At 43.9% G+C, this 23,169-nt stretch overlaps 1 protein-coding gene across 4 annotated transcripts in view; it reads left to right on the top strand.

The window, feature by feature from the left end:
- The window catches only part of LIPH (lipase H), a 46,327-nt gene extending 23,809 nt beyond the window's left edge, over positions 1-22,518 (top strand). For 2 of the 4 annotated variants that reach the window (NM_139248.3, NM_001438652.1), the window contains 7 exons: positions 1,195-1,296; positions 4,620-4,709; positions 9,471-9,638; positions 11,618-11,713; positions 14,259-14,370; positions 17,083-17,256; positions 19,903-22,518. In NM_139248.3, the coding sequence (NP_640341.1) occupies positions 1,195-1,296; positions 4,620-4,709; positions 9,471-9,638; positions 11,618-11,713; positions 14,259-14,370; positions 17,083-17,256; positions 19,903-19,990 (830 nt within the window). In that variant the 3' untranslated portion in view covers positions 19,991-22,518. The remainder of the gene's footprint in view (positions 1-1,194; positions 1,297-4,619; positions 4,710-9,470; positions 9,639-11,617; positions 11,714-14,258; positions 14,371-17,082; positions 17,257-19,902) is intronic. The other 2 variants (NM_001438029.1, NM_001438651.1) reach the window with 2 other exon arrangements.

Below are 23,169 nucleotides of genomic sequence, written 5' to 3'. Positions count from 1 at the left end.
TAACATTGACCAAGGGTGAGAAACCGGTTTAGGCATTTATAGAGCGGGTTAATTCTGCAGGGATTGACACCCACTTGGTTTCCCTCTTCAATACCTAGCCTGATACCTGGCCTGACCAGTGAGTTTCGCCCTCTCCTGCCGAGCTTGCTAAACTCAGGGCAGTGAAACCAAGAGTTCAACAGATAGAAGTGGTTGCATTAAGAGGCTGTGTTCTGATCAAGGCTCTTGATCTTCCTGAATCACAGTTCATTCATCTGGAAAATAATAATAGCTACCCTGCCTCCCTTACAGGTTTGCAACATGGATCAAAGGGGCTAGCATATATGAATAAGAGTGGAAGTTCTTTATTTATTAACAACAAAAAGGAAGGGCTGAGTGAGGTTTCTCGGTCATCTAAAGTGGGATAAAGATGAGTATAGCGCTTTCTTTCTTTCTTTCTTTCTTTCTTTCTTTCTTCTTTCTTTCTTTCTTCCTCATCTAAAGTGGGATAAAGATGAGTATAGCATCTGCTTGCTTTCTTTCTTTTTTTCTTTCTCTCTCTCTCTCTCTCTCTCTCTTTCTTTCTTCGAGACAGAGCCTTGCTCTGCCGCCAGGCTGGAATGATCTTGGCTCACTGTAACCTCTGCCTCCCGGGTTCAAGCGATCCTCCTGCCTCAGCCTCCCGAGTAGCTAGGACTACAGGCACACACCACCACGTCCAGCTAATTTTTTTGTATTTTTGTAGAGACGGGATTTCACCATGTTGGCCAGGATGGTCTTGATCTCTTGACCTCATGATCTGCCTGCCTCGGCCTCCCAAAGTGCTGGGATTACAGGTGTGAGCCACTGCGCCCAGGCTGCTCTTTTCTCTTTAATGTGCCCTTTGGTGCTTTTTTCCTGGGGACCGCCCGTTTATCCCCACCCCTTGAACCTCATACACGTGTACGTTCCCTACTGTTGAGCTCTGCATGACACATGCCCCTGATGGAGTCTGGATGCCATTCTCAGGGGCACAGCCAGGGTAACCGTCTCCACTGTGGGAACAAGCTGCAGAGCCATGGAAAGGAGTCCTGGCCAAGTGGGACGGGAGTGTGAGCGCTCACCCACCTGAGGGTGCCCTGCAGCCTGGGAGCCACCCTCATCCAGAAGGATCAAAGGCCCGGCTGCAGGTGACTCATGGTGTGGGGCTGCCAAGTGACTCTGTTTTCCTTCCAGGCCTCGACCCTGCAGGCCCTTTATTCAACGGGAAACCTCACCAAGACAGATTAGATCCCAGTGATGCGCAGTTTGTTGATGTCATCCATTCCGACACTGATGGTAACGCTCCTTTCCTTGTGGGTCAGTGACACCGCCAGGCTCCTAAAGAGTGTCCCCTGGGGAGAGATAATCATGTAGGAGCAGATCAGGTTCCTCTAGATTCTAACTTTTTTTTCCAGGCAGGGTTCCAAATCCACCGAAATATTGAAGGGAAGCTGGTTTAATGTAGGCACCCAGGACCTTGTGCTAGAGCGTGGATGATTATCCCACGGTCTCTTCATATTTTTATTTTTTTAATTTTTTTTGAGACAGAGTCTCGCTCTGTCGCCCAGGCTGGAGTGCAGTGGCGCAATCTCGACTCACTGCAAGCTCTGCCTCCCAGGTTCTCGCCATCCTCCCGCCTCAGCCTCCCGAGTATCTGGGATTATAGGCACACGCCGCCACGCCTGGCTAATTTTTTGTATTTTTAGTAGAGACGGGGTTTCACCGTGTTAGCCAGGATGGTCTCTATCTCCTGACCTTGTGATCCGCCCGCCTCGGCCTCCCAAAGTGCTGGGATTACAGGCGTGAGCCACCGCGCCCGGCATATTTTTAAAGGAATCATCATGCTCAATGAAGGACAGGCTAATTTTTTCAACATGAAGATAAGTGTTTTCCTATGTGCAACTGGGTTTGCATGCATGATTTCTTAGTGTTGTTGGTTCTTTTTATTTTCTTGAGCTGCAGGTGTTAAATCTCTCCACACAGAGTCACTCTGATGCAACTACAGCTCTCTGGCTCTCTGCAGATCTTCTTGGCCATTGCTGTCTTTATTTTTATTTTATTTTATTTTATTTATTTTATTTTATTTATTTTATATTATATTATATTATATTATATTATTTTTTATTTTATTTTATTTTATTTATTTTATATTTTATTTTATTATTTTATTTTTTATTTTATTTTATTTTATTTTATCTTATTTTTATTTTATTTTATCTTATCTTATCTTATTTTATTTTATTTTATTTTATTATTTTGAGACGGAGTTTCACTCCTGCCACCCAGGCTGGAGTGCAGTGGCGTGATCTTGGCTTGCTGCAACATCTGCCTCCTGGGTTCAAGCAATTCTCCTGCCCCAGCCTCCCAAGTAGCTGGGATTACAGGCACTCACCACCATTCCCAGCTAATTTTTGTATTTTTACTAGAGACAGGGTTTCACTATGTCGGCCAGGCTGGTGTCAAACTCCTGAGGTCAGGTGATCCACCCGCCTTTGCCTCCCAAAGTGCTGGGATTACAGGTGTGAGCCACCGTTCCCAGCCATCTTTATTTTTTTAATTTTTAAATTTATCTTCTTTTTGTAGAGATGGGGGTCTCGCTATGTTGTCCAGGCTGATCAATCGATCCTCCCACTTCAGCCTCCCAAAGTGCTGGGATTACAGGCTTGAGCCACTGTGGCTGGCCCATTTCTGTCTTTCACGGTGCTGTTTTTGTGTCTGGGATTGGATACGTGTCATGTGGGGTTGGGTGATACTCAAGGATGGGTACCTATATCCAGATGTCTGGGAGAAGAGCTGGAGTAGGAACTTGGGGAGGATTGAGGAAACAGCAGAGTGGTCATTTAATCGGACATTCTCTTCATGATACAACCACCTAAAAAAACCCTTGCCATCTCTCATCGGCATTCTGGTGTGGTGTCCAACAATTATTTGCCTTGAAAGAAATTGTCTCTTTGTGAAACAGTGGCATTCTTACTATGAAGTTTGCAAAGTACATTTTAATGCTTGGTGGAGTAGGATAGAGCAATTTATTTTTGGGAAGTGAATTTTGAAGGAAAGGGTATAGTTTTGCCATCAGACAGATGTAGCTTCAGATCCCAGGTTTTGCCCTTTCTAATGATGTCATGTTAGTTCCTTAAGTCCTCTGAGCTTCCTTTTTTTTCACTGATAGAGACAAGGTCTCACTATGTTGCCCAGGCTGGTCTCAAACTCCTGAGCTCAAATGATCCTTCCGCCTTGGCCTCCCAAAGTGCTAGGATTACAGGCGTGAGCCACCATGCCTGGTCCCATATCTTCACTTAAGTTGTTTCATCTGAATTTACCAGTGGCCACTTTGCATTGTGAAACACCTAGTACCATGCCCAGAGACACATGTGGGTTTTCAATATATAATAACTATTATTATTATTACTATGATGCATTATGTATATACATGTGCATATGTATGTACACCTACATTAAATTAATTTATATTAAATCAAGCACTTTACTGATTGGGGGTTTAATAAAGACAGTAAACAGTTATTAAATCTATATATACTTTTAAAAATGTTTATTATTATTATTTTTTAAGACAGGGTCTGTCTCTGTCACCCAGGCTGGAATGCAGTCGCGCTTTTGGCTCACGGCACCCTCCTCCTCCTAGCTCGAGTGATCCTCCCACCTCAACCCCTTGAGTAGCTGGGACTACAGGCACACACCACAATGCCTGGCTAATTTTTGTATATTTTGTAGAGACGGGGTTTCGCCATTTTGCCCAGGCTGGCCTCGATTCTCCCACCTCAGCCTCCCAAAATGCTGGGATTATAGGGGTGAGCCACTGCACCCGACCTATATATACATTTCTAGGTCCTCATTTTCTAGAAGTAGTTCCAATCTTTTTACCATCCTAGCTCTCAAATATTTAAAGATTTTATCTACTAAGTAAACATTCATTTTTTCCTGTATCCTATTTATTAGTTATACAAATGCAAATAGAGGCTCAGAAGCACCAGGCAATTAAAGGGTTGCAGCAAAACATAAGGAAGAAATGGGGCCAGGCGCAATGGCTCATGCCTGTAATACCAGCGCTTTGGGAGGCCGAGGCGGGCAGATCGCGAGGTCAGGAGTTTAAGACCAGCCTGGACAACATGGTGAAACCCCGTCTCTACTAAAAACACAAAAAGTTAGCTGGTCATGGTGGCACATGCCTGTAATTCCAGCTACTCGGGAGGCTGAGGCAGGAAAATCGCTTGAACCCAGGAGGTGGAGGTTGCAGTGAGCAGAGATTGCATCATTGCACTCCAGCCTGGACGACAGAGCAAGACTCCATCTCAAAAAAAAAAAAAAAAAGAGAAGAAATGTATCATTTTATTAGCCTTGCAGTGGATGAGTGACTAAACTCCCTAGGGTTGTTAGAAATATTGGAAGTAAATTCCTTACCATCTTCACAGTTAACCTAGTTGGAAATCATTGCCTTCTAACTAACTAGCTGGGTGACTTTGGGCAAAACTCTTACATAGGTATAACAATAATGATAAACAACAATAATAATACAATTCCTGCTTATACCTGGCAGGCAAATGAGCTGTGAGATAGGAAAAATTCAAAGGAGTATAAAAGCAGAATGTGTTCTCTTTTAGCACTGGGCTACAAGGAGCCATTAGGAAACATAGACTTCTACCCAAATGGAGGATTGGATCAACCTGGCTGCCCCAAAACAATATTGGGAGGTAAGCCTTTATATTTTGTAAAATAGTGGTATAAAAAGGCATATTTGGAGGCTGTGCATGGTGGCTCATGCCTGTAATCCCAGCACTTTGGGAGGCCGAGACGGGTGGATCACCTGAGGTCAGGAGTTTGAGACGAGCCTGGCCAACATAGTGAAACCCCATCTCTACTAAATACAAAAAATTATCCAGGTGTGGTGACGCATGCCTGTAGTCCCAGCTACTCGGGAGGCTGAGGCAAGAGAATCTCTTGAACCTGGGAGACAGAGGTTGCGGTGAGCCGAGTTCACGCCACTGCACTCCAGCCTGGGCAACAAGAGTGATACTCCATCTCAAAAAAATAAAAATTAAAAAAAAGGCATATTTTGGCCAGGTGCAGTGGTGCATACCTGTAATCCCAGCACTTTGGGAGGCCAAGGTGGGAAGATTGCTTGAGCCCAGGAGTTCAAGACCACCCTGGGCAACAGAGGGGAGATGCCATCTCTACAAAAAATAAAAACAAAATTAGCTGGGTGTTGTGGCATGCTTGTGGGCTCAGCTACTCAGAAGGCTGAGGTGGGAGGATTGCTTGAGCCTGGGAAGTAGAGGTTGCAGTGAGCCGTGATCATGCCACTGCACTCTAACCTAGGCAACAGAGTGAGACCTGTCTCAAAAAAGAAAAGAAAAAGGCATATCTTTAAAATCTGACATTATTCTACGTGCAGTAATTTTTAATAGAAAACAAACTTCCTGAGAAGATACAGGTAGTATAAATATAAATTATAAATTATAACTCAAATATACTACTTTTAAAACTATAGCCACATGTTTGAAAGCTATTATGAATTATTTCTCTCTCTTGAAAAGGTATGTCTTTGATCTAGAAATTCCACACCTGGAAATTGCTCCTAGAGAAATAATGGAAAATGCAGACAAGAATTAGAGTGCAAAGATGTTCAACATACATTATTTATAATAATTAGAGCTTTTGAAATAATTTAAATGGCCAGCTTACAAAAAGTATTAAATGAATTATGGTATGCTCACAAAAAATGTAATTCTTAAAAGTCACATTTTCAGAGAGTAATAAAAATTCTTAGTGTGATAAGTGAAAAGACAAAACTATATAATATGATGCCAATTTATTTTTTGAATCTGTATTTGTACAGATGTAAATATAGATAAAAAGACTAAAAGTAAATGCTCCAAGTAATTATTACTGGCAATCTGTTGATATCAGATTTTTAGGTGTTTTTGCATCACTATTTCCTATCATTTTGTGTTTTTCAAATAATTTTATATTACTTTTACAATGAGAAAAAACTCTAAAACATAAATGGGGAGTTAGAGGGCAACATAAAAGTGAGCTGACTGACAGAATATGACGGCCACCTTTCTTTCTTTCTTTCTTTCTTTCTTTCTTTCTTTCTTTCTTTCTTTCTTTTTCTTTCTCTCTTTCTTTTCCTTCTTTCTTTCTCTCTCCCTCCCTTCCTTCTTTTTTCTCTCTCCTTGCTTCCTTCCTTCCCTCATTCCCTTCCTTCCTTTCTTCCTCTCTTCCTTCCTTCCTTTCCCTTCCTTCCTTCCCTCCTTCCTTCCTTTTCCTTCCTTCCTTCTTTCCTTTCCCTTCCCTTTCCTTCTTCCTTCCTTCCTTCCTTTCTCTTCTTTCTTTGCGATCCTCCTGCCTTGGCCTCCCAAAGTGTTAGGATTACAGGTGTGAGCTACACCTGACAGCAATAACGTCAGCATACCCTGAGAATGACCCTTACGGCAGACACAGCTGACAACAACACTTCAGTAATGAGGGTTGCCATGTGGAGGTTGCTGGGTAGGGTGAGGGTGCTAAGTGAAGATGCTGTAACAACTGCATGCTTTTTACAAGTGGTTGCAGTTCTTATGTCCGGCTTGTTGTCACTGGACGGTCCCTGTATGTAAGTTCCTCCAATAAGCTGTAGGTCTTGTTCACTGGCTCTAGGTATCTTCTTTAGCCTTTTGAACCTGGTGTCATCCTTACTGAAGTCAACAGGGGCCCAGCACAAACAACCATTCCTGGCTGTCGATAGTGTTTCTGATGGTTCTATTTCAGCAGTTATAAGTACAATATATACATTACTGGTTTTAAAATATTTGAAAACAACTTTGGGATACTTAATTTGCTGAGTTAGGAAAAAATCCTAAACCACAAAAATACATCTATTTCCATAAAATAAAGGGCATTTTAACACATACACCCAACAAAAGAAAGGATATAAATCCAGAGCATGCAGAACTTTACATTAATTGCAGTTAGCTTAATGAAATAGTCACTGTCTCATCTGTGTGGTTCCCATACTCTACTACAGACTCGTGAACACATTGTCATAAACCAGCACTAGTCCAGAAATGGAACTACTGGACTTTTTGGAACTTACTAGCATTTTGGAACTACTGAGCAGTTGTATTTTCCAATGACCCTCAACATCTGGCAGGTGTCCGCCATGTCTCTCTTGATTGCCTGCCTGGTTTCTGTGCAGTGCCAGGCCCCGTTGCCTTTGACATGAATGAAAAATGTGGCAGGAATCTGAATGACTCTTGCTCTTGAGTTTTTGGCAGTTGTTGGGATTACTGGCACTGAACAGTACCAGACCGAGGAAGCTCATAAGAACCAGGCTTCCAGTTAAACCCTCGAGCAGAAATAAAGCAGAGGGGTTTCAGCAAACAGCGGAACCCACTAGAGGTTGCATTTATTCATTCATCCAACAAATACCTATTAATTTGCCATGTGTCTGGCACTGTGTTATGATCTGGAACTAAAGGAGAACAGTTCAGTATAGTATAACAGTTCAGAACAGCATAATAGTTAAACTACCATGGTGAACTAAATAGGTAAAGTCCATACATTGAGAAAAGCAGAGTCAAAGTTATTCTATTCAAGATAGAAGCTAGTACTCAGTCGGGTATGGTGGCTCATGCCTGAAATCCCAGCACTTTAGGAGGCTGAGGTGGGCAGATCACCTGAGGTCAGGAGTTCAAGGCCAGGTTGGGTAACATGGTGAAACCCTGTATCTACTAAAATACAAAATTAGCCGGAAGTGGTGGTACGAGCCTATAATCTCACCTACTCGGGAGGCTGAGGCAGGAGAATTGCTTGAACCCAGGAGGCAGAGGTTGCAGTGAGCCGGGATCATGCCACTGCACTCCAGCCTGGGCAACAGAGCGAGACTCCATCTCAAAAAAAAAAAAAAAGATAGAAGCTAGTACTTGATTAGATCTAATAGTGATATTTAACAGTGAAAGATTGGTTTTTAAATGCCACAATGCTGGAGAGTAAGTGAAATAAGAATGGGAGAATTTTGATAATTACTCAATTACTGGAGCGGGGATGATATGGGCATGAGGGTTCTTTGTATCCTTCTCTCGATTTTTGTGCCTGGTTTGAAAATTCCCATAATAAATGTGGCAGGGGAGTGAGAGAGCTCCATGACTGAAGCTAGTTGTTTGCATTTTTCAACCTTTCTCTAAGTAAATATATTATATGAAAAGGCAGAATGAAGAGGAATTAGTTAATGATTTGCAATTTGCTTTTTTTTTTCTTTTTTTTTGGGATGGAGTCTTGCTCTATCGCCCAGGCTGGAGTGCAGTGGCTCGATCTCGGCTCACTGCAACCTCCGCCTTCCAGGTTCAAGCGATTCTCCTGCCTCAGCCTCCCAAGTAGCTGGGATTACAGGCGCGCCACCATGCCCGGCTAATTTTTGTATTTTTAGTAGAGACGGGGTTTCACCATGTTGGTCAGGCTGGTCTTGAACTCCTGACCTCATGATCCACCCATCTCAGCCTCCCAAAGTGCTGGGATTATAGGCGTGAGCCACCATGCCCAGCCAGCAATTTACTTTTATGATAACGATTTTGGTAATTCCTTCTGATTCTCCATGACCTGGGGAAAGTTGGCCTTGGACCCAAGCACCCTCACCATGTCAGCTTGATGAGCAGACACAGCAACTTTGTAGTCTGAAGTAGCCCTGCAATGTTAGACCAGGGGCTTTCAAACTTACATGCTTCAGGACCGCATGGAAGACAGGGGACAGTGTTTGTTAAAATACTGATGCCTGCGCCTCCTCTGAATTAGAAATATTTGAGGGTGGACCTGAACTCTGTATTTTAATAAGCACGATTTTGATGCAGGCAATCTATGGATCAAGCATTGGATGACAGTGAAAGATACCTCGATTGCTACGTGAGCAATCAAGGTCTTTTTTTTTTTTTTTTTTTTTTTTTTTTTTTTGAGATGGAGTGTCACTCTGTTGCCCAGGCTGGAGTGCAATGGCACAATCTCGGCTCACTGCAACCTCCGCCTCCCAGGTTCAAGCGATTCTCCCTGCCTTAGCCTCCTGAGTAGTTGGGACTACAGGTGCCCACCACCACGCCCAGCGAATTTTTGTATTTTTAGTAGAGACGGGGTTTCCCCATGTTGGCCAGGCTGGTTTCGAACTCCTGACCTCAGGCAATCCACCTGCTTCGGCCTCCTAAAGTGCTGGGATTACAGGCGTGAGCCACTGCACCTGGCCCTGGGTCTTTCACCAAAGCATATTTGCTCTAATTCTTGCCACAACCTTAATTTGATTTCATCTTTTCTCCTCCCACTTGCCAGCATGAATTCTTATCTATGGGATTTTATAAAGATTAAATGAAATAAAATACACTGAAAGAGCGCAGGGCCAGATGAGAAATTGTGTGTGTATAGAATATGTGATATAGTATTACTAAATGCTTCAACCGCTCTACTCTTTCATCACTTCTTTTACAACCAAGGATTTCAGTATTTTAAATGTGACCACCAGAGGTCTGTATACCTGTACCTGTCTTCCCTGAGAGAGAGCTGCACCATCACTGCGTATCCCTGTGACTCCTACCAGGATTATAGGAATGGCAAGTGTGTCAGCTGCGGCACGTCACAAAAAGAGTCCTGTCCCCTTCTGGGTAAGTCTAACCAGCAGTTTCCTCTCTGATTCACAAAGAACTAATTTTTGGTATGAATCCCAGAACCACTTTATCATGTAAAAACTGGCCCCATAATTGTATTAAAAACTTGTTTTTCTGCTGGGCACAGTGGCTCATGCCTGTAATCCCAGCACTTTGGGAGGTTGAAGCAGCTGGATCACTTGAGGTCAAGAGTTTGAGACCAGCCTGGGCAAAATGGTGAATCCCTGTCTCTACAAAAATACAAAAAGTAGCCGGGTGTGGTGGTGCGTGCCTGTAGTCCCAGCTACTCGAGAGGAGGCTTAGGTGGGAGGATCACTTGAGCCCAGGAGGTTGAGGCTGCAGTCAACTGAGATCATGCCACTGCACTCCAGCCTGGGTCACAGAGCAAGACCCTGTCTCCAAAAATAAATAAATAAAAGGTTAAAATTTAAAAAAAAATTTCTTAAAAAGAAAAAAATTTTAAAAATAGACTTTTTTTTTCTAGTCAGCTTTTTCTAGCCAATTTGTTCTTTGAACTACTCTAGTCTCCTACTAATAAACAGTGTTAGAAAGCAATGTAGACTGGGCATGGTAGCTCACGCCTGTAATCCCAGCACTTTGGGAGGCTGAGGTGGGCGAATCACAAGGTCAGGAGTTTGAGACCAGCCTGGCCAACATGGTGATATCTCATCTCTACTAAAAATACAAAAAAATTAGCTGGGCATGGTGGCGGGCGCCTGAAATCCCAGCTACTTGGGAGGCTGAGGCAGGAGAATCACTTGAACCTGGGAGACGGAGGATACAGTGAGCTGAGACCGCGCCATTGCACTCCAGCCTGGGCAACAAGAGTGAAACTCCGTCTCAAAAAGCAAACAAACAAACAAAAGAAAGAAAAAAGAAAAGAAAAGCAACTGTAGAGTATTCCATCCAGAAGGCAGTACAGCCTCCCTGGACCCTCTATTCTAGCATGGAAAAGAAGGTTACAGAAGAGTTTCCAAGCTTACCCAGGGTACAGTCACTCTACGTAGCCTGCTCCTGTGGGGACAGGAATACCCTTTCTGTGCTTACAACCTCTCTGCTGGGAGAGGGTCCACAATGAGCCCAGAGACTCTCCTGACAAGTGAACTTTTTCACAGACTCATGTCTATGTAAATGCCCTCACTCCACATTCTGGCTCTTGTGTGCACGTACAGCAGGTGGAGTGAGGTAATAGATATTGTGGAGGCTGCTTGGATATTCGCTAGGGATTAGTACAGATATTCTAGGTGGTTAGGACTTTGAAACTGGATGGTCATGAGGATTTTCTATTTTTTTTCCAAAAGGAAAAATCCAAGTTAACAACAGGGCATGGTATAGACAAGGGGTTCTCAACCTTGATTGTGCTTTAGAATCACCTAAGGAGTTTTAACACAATACTGATGCCTGGGTCCCACCCTGGATCAATTAAGGCAGAATGTGAAGGCCATTCTCTAGGGCTAGGGACAGAGGAGAGAAAGAGGGCCCTCTGGACAGCAAAAACAAAGGAGGACACTCACCTGCTTAGTGACACAGTCAGTCATGTGGCAAGCCCAGGTCTATGCAATTTAGGGGCCCCATTGTAGTTCTTCAAGAAAGCATATTGGTTTTCAAGAGTGATGCTATTTTAGGTATGAACTTGAATCTGTTTTAATCTAGAAAATGAATGTATTACTGAAAAATGTCAGTGTTATTTTTAGTCCACACCAGTGTGTGCCACACCCCACACCTCTCCACCCTGCTACTGAGAACCAGTAAAGGGGGAAAACAACTGGAGGGTCCTGTTGCCCTTCAGCTCTTAGGGACAGGGTTGGCCAGCAAGATGGGTCACCCTGCAGGCCCTCACCATGGGGGATGGAGGTGGGATGGAGTTTCTCTCAGAAGTGGTGGATACAGTCAAACTCAATGTTCTTGCTACCTCAGTTGCTTTTATGTTTGTATAATACATATTAATCTTACAATTTTTTAAACTTGTTTCATAGGCTATTATGCTGATAATTGGAAAGACCATCTAAGGGGGAAAGATCCTCCAATGACGAAGGCATTCTTTGACACAGCTGAGGAGAGCCCATTCTGCAGTGAGTGGTGAATGTGGTTGTTGGCTTTTGCCTAACTCTCATTTTGGGGATGGCTGAGTCTCAGCTTCCTGGCTACTTCTTGGCAAATAAGAGCCATGATGAAGCATCAACTTTGGAGCTGGAAGGGCCTCGGTTGACTCCTGAGTCTACCACATAATAGCTGTGGGACCTTGGTGAAGTCATTTGACTTCTCTGAGTCTCAATGTCCTGACTGGTCAAATGGGGGTAATAATGCCTGTATTCTGGGATATTAGGTTTAATCTGATGCCATTTAAAAATATTAATTTAATAAAATCTCAACAAATCAGAGTTGTTAGTTTCACTGGATGACCATTCTAATCACTAAGATCTTCCAGAAAATTGCTTGATTCCCCAAAAGACATAAAATTAAGACTAGGAAAAATCAGGTGTCAGCCATATCTACAGGTCAGTTCCAGCTCTAAAGCAAACATGATGACCCAAAGGCCTCGAGAGGTTGAGTATTCCAGATGGGAATTAAAGGGGGCAGCCAATGATTAGACGCCTTGGGAAGCAACTAGAATTTCCTTGGGCAGATGTGTTTTTCCTACAGTCTTGTACCCATTTTCACTTTCCTTGGGAACAACTATTTTATTTCATTTTATTTATTTTTTTTGAGACAGGGTCTCACTCTGTCACCCAAGTTGAAGTTCAGTGGCGCAATCTCAGCTCACTGCAATCTCTGCCTCCTGGGTTCACGCGATCCTCCTGCCTCAGGATTCCGAGTACCTGAGACTACAGGTGTGCATCACCATGCCTGGCTAATTTTTGTATTTTTAGTAGAGACGGGGTTTTGCCATGTTGGCCAGGCTGGTCTCAAACTCCTGACCTCAGGTGATCTGCCTGCCTTGGCCTCTCAAAGCGCTGGGATTACAGGCATCAGCCACCATGCCCAGGCTATGTTAATTTTTTTTTGAGACAGGGTCTTGTTCTGTCACCCAGGCTGGAGTGCAGTGGCACAATAATGGGGCACTGCAGCCTCAACCTCCTGGACTCAAGCAATCCTCCTGCCTCAGCCTCCCAAGTAGCTGGGACTTCGGGCATGCGCCACCATGCCCAGCTAACTGTTTTTTTTGTTTCTTTTAGAGACAGAATCTCACTATGTTGCATAGGCTGGTCTTGAACTCTTGGGCTCAAGCAATCCTCCTGCCTTAGTGCTGGGATTACAGGTGTGAACTTCCATGCCAGGTGTGAGCAACTCTTTTAAAAGAGCCTGGAGGCTAAGCATGGTGGCTCACGCCTGCATTCCCAGCATTTTGGGAGGCCAAGGCGGGCGGATCACTTGAGGCCAGGAGTTTGAGACCAGCCTGGCCAACATGGTGAAACCCCATCTCTACTAAAAATACAAAAACCCCAAAAACAAAATATAAAAATTAGCTGGGCGTGGTGGTGCTTGCCTGTAATCCCAGCTACCTAGAAGGCTGAGGCTGGAGAATTGCTTGAACCCAGGAGACAGAGGTTGCCGTGAACCGAGATTACGCCACTGCACTCCAGCCTGGGCAACACAGAGAGATTCTTTTAAAAAAAAAAAAAGCCTGCAGATCACTGGGTTTCCCTCTTTCTTTGGAGCCATGTGTGGCAGCCCAGGATTTGGCACCTACCTGGTCTGTATGGGGCAAGCCCCTGAGCAAGTTGGGCCATAAAATGGCAAATCCAGGACTGACCTTATTCCTTCGTGGGACTGTCATCTCCCTGATTAGTTCCTGTTGTAGCGTGTTTTAATTTTATCTTTTTTTTTTTTAAAAAAACCCATAAGACATTATTCAGGTAACATTTGTATAGATGTACCCACATATTCACCACTTTTTTTTTCTCTGAGTCTGCTGGTTAGGGAATGCCACTTTATTTTTATTATCACCCTTTCTTGCATTTTGTAAATACAGGAAAGTGTGCTGAATAATAATGGGGAGAGTCCAGAGTATGGCAGGAACTTCAAGAAAGGAGACCTGACTTAGTCTGGGGGTCAGGAAAAGCCTTCTGGAGGAATGACATTAAGTTGAAACCTAAAAGGTGGATTCACAGAGCTGGCAAAGTAAGCGTGCCCAGGTGGGTGAAGGCCCAGGAGCCTTCACAGTGCAGGGAGTGCAGGTGGTGGAGCATGATTGGGAGAAGGATGAGGAAGGCTGAGTAGGCTGGTGGACTTGGCCCAAACTGTGGAAAACCGTCTCAGCCCTGGAGGGTCTCCGAATGGCCCCTTAGTTGGTTGAGTCTAAAATGGGCAGGAATTGATGTGAACCACACTCAGCCATAAGCCCTAAGACTTCACAATACCTGGAAACACTGGTTCAACGATGATGCCTGACCATGGTGACTGGAAACCAATGAACTCTGCTATCACTCATGCCATCTTTACCAAAGAGAAGAGAAGGGAATATTAGAAACTTCTGCCCTGGATCTTTGCAGAGAAACCAGAGAGAAAGAGAAGAAGAGACTCAGTGATTAGGGAGGTTCAGTTTTTAGGAACCAGCCCTTCAGGGGATCAGTTGGTAGTATCTCTCTCTTACCGTGTTCTCTCTCTGTTTTGCAGTGTATCATTACTTTGTGGATATTATAACATGGAACAAGAATGTAAGAAGAGGGGACATTACCATCAAATTGAGAGACAAAGCTGGAAACACCACAGAATCCAAAATCAATCAGTAAGTTGAGTTACAATTGTTTGCAGTGCGCTATTTCCCTTTTTGCTCAGAGAAATTAAATCACAAATCCACCTACTTTCTTATTTATAGATCTATGCTTTTCCTTGTTCTATAAAAGATATAAGGGGAACTATTGCTTAGTTGCTTCCCTGGTTCTTGATCTCCCAGGGTCTTTACAAATGGGATTGGTGCAAGGGTTTTCTTTCCTTCCCTCCTTCTCTTCTTCCTTTCTTTGCTTCCTCCCTTTTTCCTTCCTTTCCTCCCTCTTTCCCTCTCTTTCTCCCTTTGTTCCTCTCCTCCTTACTTCCTTTGATTAAACATGTAATACAAAAGTTATCCTTGTTTTCGATAAAGGATTTAAACAACAAATGAATATGCTGATTTAATTATCCCACATTGTATACATACATCAAAACATCTCAGCTCACTGCAACCTCCTCCTCCCAGGTTCAAGCGATTCTCCTGCCTCAGCCTCCTGAGTAGCTGGGACTACAGGCACATGCCACCATGCCCAGATAATTTTTTGTATTTTTAGTAGAGACGGGGTTTCACCGTGCTGGCCAGGCTGGTCTCAAACTCCTGACTTCATGATCTGCCCGCCTCGGCTTCCCAAAGTGCTGGGATTACAGGTGTGAGCCACCGCGCCTGGCTGATTTCCTTCATTTTTAAGGCTGAGTAATATTTGATTATATGCATATACCACATTTTGTTTATTCTTCCATCAATGAACACTTGGGTTGCCTCCTCCTCTTGGCTATTGTGACTAGTGCTGCTATGAACATGGGTGTGCAAATGTCTGAGACTCTGCTTTCAATTTTTTTGGACTTGTATCCAGAAGTGGAGTTTCTGGATCATATTGTAGTTCTCTTTTTAATTTTTTGAGACACCACTATACTGTTTTCCTTAATGGTTGCACAATTTTCCAATCCCACTGATGGTGCATACAGGATCCAGTTTCTCCACATCCTCACCAATATTTGTTATGTTCTATTATTTTGATATTAACCATCTGGATGGGTGTGAGATGATTCTGTGTCTTTTGAACATTTACATCTTTTTTTTTTTTTTTTTGAGACAGAGCCTTGCCCTGTCACCAGGCTGGAGTATAGTGGCCTGATCTCGGCTCACTGCAAGCTCCACCTCCTAGGTTCAAGCGAATCTCCTGCTTCAGCCTCCTGAGTAGCTGAGACTACAAGCGTGAGCCACCATGCCCAGCTAATTTTTATATTTTTAGTAGAGACGGGTTTTCACATGTTGGCCAGGATGATCTCGATCTCTTGACCTTGTGATCTGCCTGCCTCAGCCTCCCAAAGTGCTGGGATTATAGGCATGAGCCACCGTGCCCGGCTTCCATCACTGTTTAAAACACTTACTAACTTTCTGGCACACGGGTTTCCAGGATCACTTTGCACGTTTCCTGCCCCAGCCATGGAATCAACCATTTCTCCAGGGAGCTCTGGTTTCTTTCAGTAGAGATGGTGTTAAGAAAACAAAATCTGGGCACCTCTTAGATTAGTTTTATTTGTGGCACTTCTGTACTCCATGGGACTTAGACATGATCCCAGTGGGGTGACAGATACCTCGTCACGATTACCCCATTCCCAAAGTAAGGATTAATGTTGGGTAGGCTCGGTGGCTCATGCCTGTAATTCCAGCACCTTGGGAGGCCGAGGCAGGCGGATCACCTGAGGTCAGGAGTTCAAGACCAGCCTGGCCAATATGGTGAAACCCTGTCTCCATTAAAAATACAAAAATTAGCCAGGAGGGGTGGCAGGTGCCTGTAATCCCAGCTACTCGCGAGGCTGAGGCAGGAAAATGACTTGAACCCAGGAGGCAGAGGTTGCAGTGAACCGAGATCACACCACTGCACTCCAGCCTGGGCAACAGAGCAAGAATCCATCTCAAAAAAAAAAAAAAAAAAAGGATTAATGTCTAGAGCAAGCCTTCTGTTCCCAAAGCCAGGGGCTCCATGGTTCTTCCACCTCCCCAGAAAGACAGTGAGTGAGCTGAACCTCTCCAGTGATATGCCTTACCTTCAATTTGGTTTTCCACCTATAGAAAACATCTCTATACACTTGGATAACAGGATCAGACTCTGGATTTGCCTTTTTTAAGGTTCATCTTGAGAGGGAGAACTAAAAAAAATACATGCTACAGCACAATTCAGTTAGCATCTATTTTGGCTAAAGATATACTTAGGCATCTAGGGATGCAGTTTAACGGAAAGATCATAACTTTGAACTCAGCCAGAACTGGGTTGGAATCTCTTCACTGCTACATATAAGGCCTGTCACCTGGGGAGCTTGATCTCTGTAAGCATCTATTTCTGTCTATTAAATGAGGAGAATAATGCCCCCCTTGCGGAATGTTCTGGGGAGTTGGAGAGATGAGTCGAGAGACAAGGACATCATCTGGTGTGTACTAGGCAGTCATTAGCATCGTGCCTCTCTAATGTCATTTTGGGTCACTTACATCGCCCTTTGGAGTCAGCAGACTTTGCCCATCAAAGTTGACTAGTTCTTGGGTGGTTACTACACTCCAGCCTGGGCAACAGTGTGAACCCTGTCTCAGAAAAAAAAAAAAAAAAAAAGTCAGCTGGTGCAGGCTATGGGGTGAAATAGTTACCAGCTTACCAGTGACTTGCAGGCTTCAAAACTGCTTTCTCTCATTAGTAGTCTTTATCCATTTTTCAGTATTACTTCTTCCTTCCAGTGAACCCACCACATTTCAGAAATATCACCAAGTGAGTCTACTTGCAAGATTTAATCAAGATCTGGATAAAGTGGCTGCAATTTCCTTGATGTTCTCTACAGGATCTCTAATAGGCCCAAGGTACAAGCTCAGGATTCTCCGAATGAAGTTAAGGTCCCTTGCCCATCCGGAGAGGTGAGCTGAGGGTACGGTTTGACAAAACGCTGTTTTCCAAAGATGTTGCTGGATCCTGTCCAATCTGCTTGGTCTGATGTGTTAATAAGACTCTATTATTCACAATGAGGGACATGATGGGTTTTCCAAAAATAGTTTTTATTATAAACAAGTAGCCCAGGCCAAGTGTAGTGGCTCAAGCCTATAATCTCAGCACTTTGGGAGGCCAAGCTGGGAGGATTGCTTCAGCTCAGGAGTTCTAGCCAGCCTGGGCAACGTATGGAGACCCTGTCTCTACAAAAAAAGAAAAAAAAAACAACCCAAAACAGAAAGCAAGTGGCCCAGCCCACCTGCATTTGATGGTACATGACTGTAATCCCACTACTCAGGAGGCTGAGGTGAGAGGATCACTTGAGCCCAAGAGTTGAAGTCCAGCCTGGGCAACATAGCAAGATTCTATCTCAAAATAAAAACAAAAAATTAAATAAAAAATTTTAAAAATAAAAACAGGTAGCCCAGTAATCCAAGAAAATTATACTGCATGTACTTAAAGGTAGATAAGGTAGATGGCCTAGTAATCCAAGGAAATAATGTTGTTATATGCTTAGAACTATACAGTTCTTCCCTAACTACCACACTGCTTGTAAGCTGGTAATTTGTTGTAGAAAAGAAAGCTTTGGATAATTTGGCAAGCTGATTAAACAGAGCCTAGTATAAAAAAAGGTACAGAAAATTGGAACATTTTATTCCCTTGACCACAGGCACGTCCACCACACCCAGCTAATTTTTGTATTTGTGATTTTGTATTTTTAGTAGAAAAAAATATTTTCGTATTTTTAGTTTCGCCATGTTGGCCAGGCTGGTCTTGAACTCCTGGCCTCAAGTATCCGCCCGCCTTTGTCTCCCAAATTGCTGAGATTACAGGCATGAGCCACTGTACCCTTGACAGTACAAAAGTATTATATTGAATTTCTTAAATTTGATAATGGCACTGAAAATGTCCTTGTTCTTAGGAAATATACAATGAAGTATTAAGGAGTAAACAATCTATTCTCAATTGTGCCAGAAAAAATAAACAATGTATGTTTGGGGAGAGAAAGAGAGAGAAACAGAGAAAGAGGGCGAGAAGGAGAGAAAGAATTATTATTTAAGTACAGAGCTGTGTTGACATGTATGTTTTGTGACAAATGCCAGTCTACCATATAGTCCTAGCATCTAACCTGTGGACAGAGAGGGAGACAGGAAATGATGTGAGTAGTTAGTACTTTGTGAATTCCTTTTTCTTAAAAGTTTAGGGACTGAACACGGTGGCTCATGCCTGTAATCCCAGCACCTTGGGAGGCCAAAGTGGGCGGATCACCTGAGGTCAGGAGTTCTAGACCAGCCTGGCCAATGTGGTGAAACCCCGTCTCTACCAAAAATATAAAAAATTAGCTGGGCAGTGGTGGTGTGCACCTGTAATCCCAGCTACTCGGGAGGCTGAGGCAGGAAAATTGCTCGTATCTGGGAGGCAGAAGTTGTGGTGAGCCGAGATCGTACCACTGCACTCCAGCCTGGGTGACAGAGTGAGACCCTGTCTCAAAAAAAAAAAAAAAAAAGAAAACAAAAAAAGAAAGTTTAGGGTACCTTAAAACATTTAATAGTACAAGTTTCTCCTAAGAGGATAGTCATTACATCCTAAAACTTTTTAATACTTTTTTTGCCCTGAATATCAGACAATATATGTTTATTTGACAAAATCTAGAAAGTACAGAAATTGTCAGGAAACAGAAAAATATCACCCATATTGTCATTATTCAGAGGCAACCACTGCTAATATTTATTGTTATTTCTATATAATCTTCCTTTCTTTTATTGTTTTTAAAGCTGAACTTACATGGTAAATACAATTTTACATCTTTCTTTCTTTTTTGGTACGGAGTCTCGCTCTGTCACCCAGGCTGGAGTACAGTAGTAGCGCGTTCTTGGCTCACTGCAACCTCCACCTCCTGGGTTCAAGCAATTCTCCTGCTTCAGCCTCCGAAGTAGCTGGGATTACAGGCACACGCGACCACGCCCAGCTAATTTTTTGTATTTTTAGTAGAGACAGTGTTTCACCATGTTGGTCAGGCTGGTCTCCAACTCCTGGCCTCAGGTGATCCACCCGCCTTGGCCTCCCAAAGTGCTGGGATTACAAGCGTGAACCACCGTGCCTGGCCATATATCTTGCTTTCTCCTTGGTGTTTTACTTACCATAAGCATTTTCTTTCTTTTTTTTTCTGAGACAGAGTCTCATTCTGTCACCCAGGCCAGAGTGCAATGGCGTGATCTCAGCTCACTGCAACCTCCACCTCCTGGGCTCTAGTACTGCCTTAGCCTCCTGAGTAGCTGGAACCACAGACACGCACTACCACACCCAGCTAATTTTTGTATTTTTAGTAGAGACGGGGTTTAGCCATGTTGGCCAGGCTGGTCTTGAACTCCTGGCCTCAAGTATCTGCCCGCCTCGGCCTCTTAAAATGCTGGGTGGGATTACAGGCATGAGTCACCGTGCCTGGCCACCGTAAGTGTTTTCTATATTAAAAACAATTGCTAAATAATTTTGTATCTTAAGGATATAATATTATTTACTAGACCATTGCATTTTTATAAATTCATTTACAAGGATATTTTGTCTTATTTTCCCAGGCCTCAGCTGTGTCGGTATGATCTTGTCCTGATGGAAAACGTTGAAACAGTCTTCCAACCTATTCTTTGCCCAGAGTTGCAGTTGTAACTGTTGCCAGGACACATGGCCATAAATAATAGAAAGAAAGCTACAACCACAGGCTGTTTGAAAGCTTCACCTCACCTTTCTGCAAGGCAGAAAAAGTATGAAAAAAACCAAGGCTTTTTTCAGTAGCGTCCTATGGATGTCACATTGTACATCAAACAACCTTGTGATTATAAAACGATCCTGGGAAGGAGCCCCTAACTAGGGCAAGTCAGAAATAGCCAGGCTCGCAGCAGCGCAGCGCTGTGTCTGCTGTGTCCTGGGGCCTCCCTTGTTCCGACCTGTCAATTCTGCTGCCTGTCACGCGGGTGGTTCTGCCCATCGCGGCTGCGGGTCAAGCATCTTCAAGGGAAGGACGGACTGGAGGCCTCACCGTGGACTCAACTCTGCATTCTCCGTGCCACATTCCTCCAGTTCCCACACGTAGAAGGGAACGAAACTGACGTCTACCTCATGGGGCTGCTGTGTGGGTTTGGGAGGCAAAAATCTATGAAGGGTTTTTTGAAATCCCATAGGTGCCACATCTATGAGATGTTTGATAAATGTGAATATGCTTTTACATTTGGGCTTATCTAATTTGCAATAAGAGAGCCTCTCTCTATCAACACCAGCTTCTCTCTCGGGCTGTTTGCTCAGGGAAGGCAAGAAAGCCACGTGCTGGCCCTCTGCCTTCTCTAAAGTGCTGTTGGAGCATGGAGGAGCTGGAGGAGATGGGGATGGACTGACAGCTAAGAGGGCGGCTGCTGGGACTAGATAGTGGATGAAGAAAGAAGGACGAGGAAGCCGTGGGGCAGCCTCTTCACATGGGGACAGGGGATGGAGCATGAGGCAAGGGAAGGAAAAGCAGAGCTTATTTTTCACCTAAGGTGGAGAAGGATCACTTTACAGGCAACGCTCATTTTAAGCAACCCTTAAGAAATGTTTATGTTTCTTTATTACCAATGTAATCTATGATTATTGAAGGAAATTTAGAAAATGCGTAGATACAAAATTAAAAAAAAATACTGTCCACGATCCTATTAGAGGTAATTAATGTTAGCCTTTTGGAACAAGGCTGTCACCTATTTTGCCAACACGTGAATTCAAAACATGAACCGGTTTGCTTTTGGAGAATCTGAAGACTCCAGTTTGAGGAATCCTTTGCTTCCCTGGAGGTAGATGCTGTCTGCAAATCTAGAATGACAGCAGGAGTCCAGTCAAGAGGTCCTGTCAGGCCAAGGCCAGAAAGAAGGGAGGACAATCCCTGGGGCCAGATGCCCAGTGTGAGGGGAGGCATGATCTGTCCCATGGCTGTGGCCACTGCAGGAAGGTCTGTGAAAAGGAGGTGACAGGCCCAGTCACCTCCTCTTCACCCAAGTGATTGCTCCTTCAACTGCTATCTGTGAAAATAGCCTTTGTTATGAAGAAATTGACTCTCTCTCTCTTTTTTTTTTTTTGGAGTTGCCTAGGCTGGAGTGCAATGGTACGATCTCAGCTCACTGCAACCTCCACCTCCCAGGTTCAATTGATTCTCCTGCCTCAGCCTCCTGAGTAGCTGGGATTACAGGCATGTGCCACCACACCCGGCTAATTTTTGTATTTTTATTAGAGACAGGGTTTCACCACGTTAGCCAGGCTCGTCTCGAACTCCTGTCCTCAGGTGACTACCCGTCTCGGCCTCCCAAAGTGCTGGGATTACAGGCATGAGCCACCACACCCGGCCAAAAATGGATTCTCTATGTCATAAATTAAAGAAATCTATAAATGTATTCCTGTGTGGCACATCTTCTTACAGATTTACATTTGCAGCAAATACAGAGTCTGTTTTATTTAAGTGAGGGATGACTGAACTCTGAGTGGAACAAGCTCTTGGACATGTTACCATCCTTCCTCCTCCTTCTCACATTTCCTCAGCAATTGTGGATAGAGAGATCAGTGTGCTGTAGGCCCTGGTTTTTTTTTTTTTTTTTTTTTTTTTTTTTTAGATGGAGTCTCCTTCTGTTACCCAGGCTGGAGTGCAGTGGCACGATCTTGGCTCACTGCAACCTCTGCCTCCCGGGTTCAAGCAATTCTCTGCCTCAGCCTCCCAAGTAGCTGGGATTACAGGCGCCCCCACCATGCCTGGCTAATTTTTGTATTTTTAGTAGAGACCTGGTTTCACCATCTTGGCCTTGAACTCCTGACCTTGTGATCCACTGGCCTTGGCCTCTCAAAGTTCTGGGATTACAGGTGTGAGCCATCGTACCCGGCAGCCCTGGTTTCTTCTTAGTTTTATTGGTCTGTGTTTTGATCAGCACAGTCACTTTTTTGTTCTCTTTCCTGGTAAGCAGGGAGTCAAAACAATAGCAAGAAAATGCCAGAAATAGAATTTCTACTACTTTGTAAACTCTAGGCTCGTGGGTCTCCTAGCTCTCAGTACCTGGCTCACTGTAGGATGGGTAGATGGGTGAATGAATGGATAAAGAAAGGAAGTTTGTTCACCGGAGAGGAGATGAATTTCAGTAAGTTTCATGTAACAGTGATCAGGAGAAATAAAGGCAGTTATAACTGTGGCCACTCTGTTCTCAGAATCTTTCTTCCAAGGGCCCCTGGAACTTTTGACTGTCTCTTGTTATCCTTGCTTCTCTTCCCCTCTCTTTCTCAGTACCATATATCTGTCTGAGTGCCAAATTCAAAGCACAATTAAATTACAGTCTACCCTCTTCCCTCCCCTCTTCACTGGTGACCTCCTACTCATCATTTGGATCGTGGCTCAATTGCCACCTCCTCAGGGAGTCTTCTTGGACCTTATTTCCATACAGAGAGGTTCCACACTGTACCTCTCCTTCATAGCACTTTTTAGTTGTATTTTTAAACATTTTTTCTTTTTTTTGAGACGGAATCTCACTCTGTCACCTAGGCTGGAGTGCAGTGGTGCAATCCTGGCTCACTGTAACCTCTGCCTCCTGGGTTCCAATGTTTCTCATGCCTCAGCCTCCCAAGTAGGTGGAACTACAGGCCAGTGCCACCATGCCCAGCTAATTTTTGTATTTTTAGTAGAGACGGGGTTTCACCATATTGGCCAGGCTGATGTCAAACTCCTGACCTCAAGTGATCTGCCTGCTTCGGTCTCCCAAAGTGCTGGGATTACAGGCGTGAGCCACCGCACCCAGCCTGTTTTTTTTATTTTATTTGCCTGATTATTTGATAAATATCTGTCTTCT

This window comes from Homo sapiens, chromosome 3 (genome assembly GCF_000001405.40).
Source record: "Homo sapiens chromosome 3, GRCh38.p14 Primary Assembly".
Lineage (NCBI taxonomy): Eukaryota > Metazoa > Chordata > Mammalia > Primates > Hominidae > Homo > Homo sapiens.
Note: the sequence above shows the minus strand (reverse complement) of the source record. Positions and strands in the feature narration are given on the sequence as shown.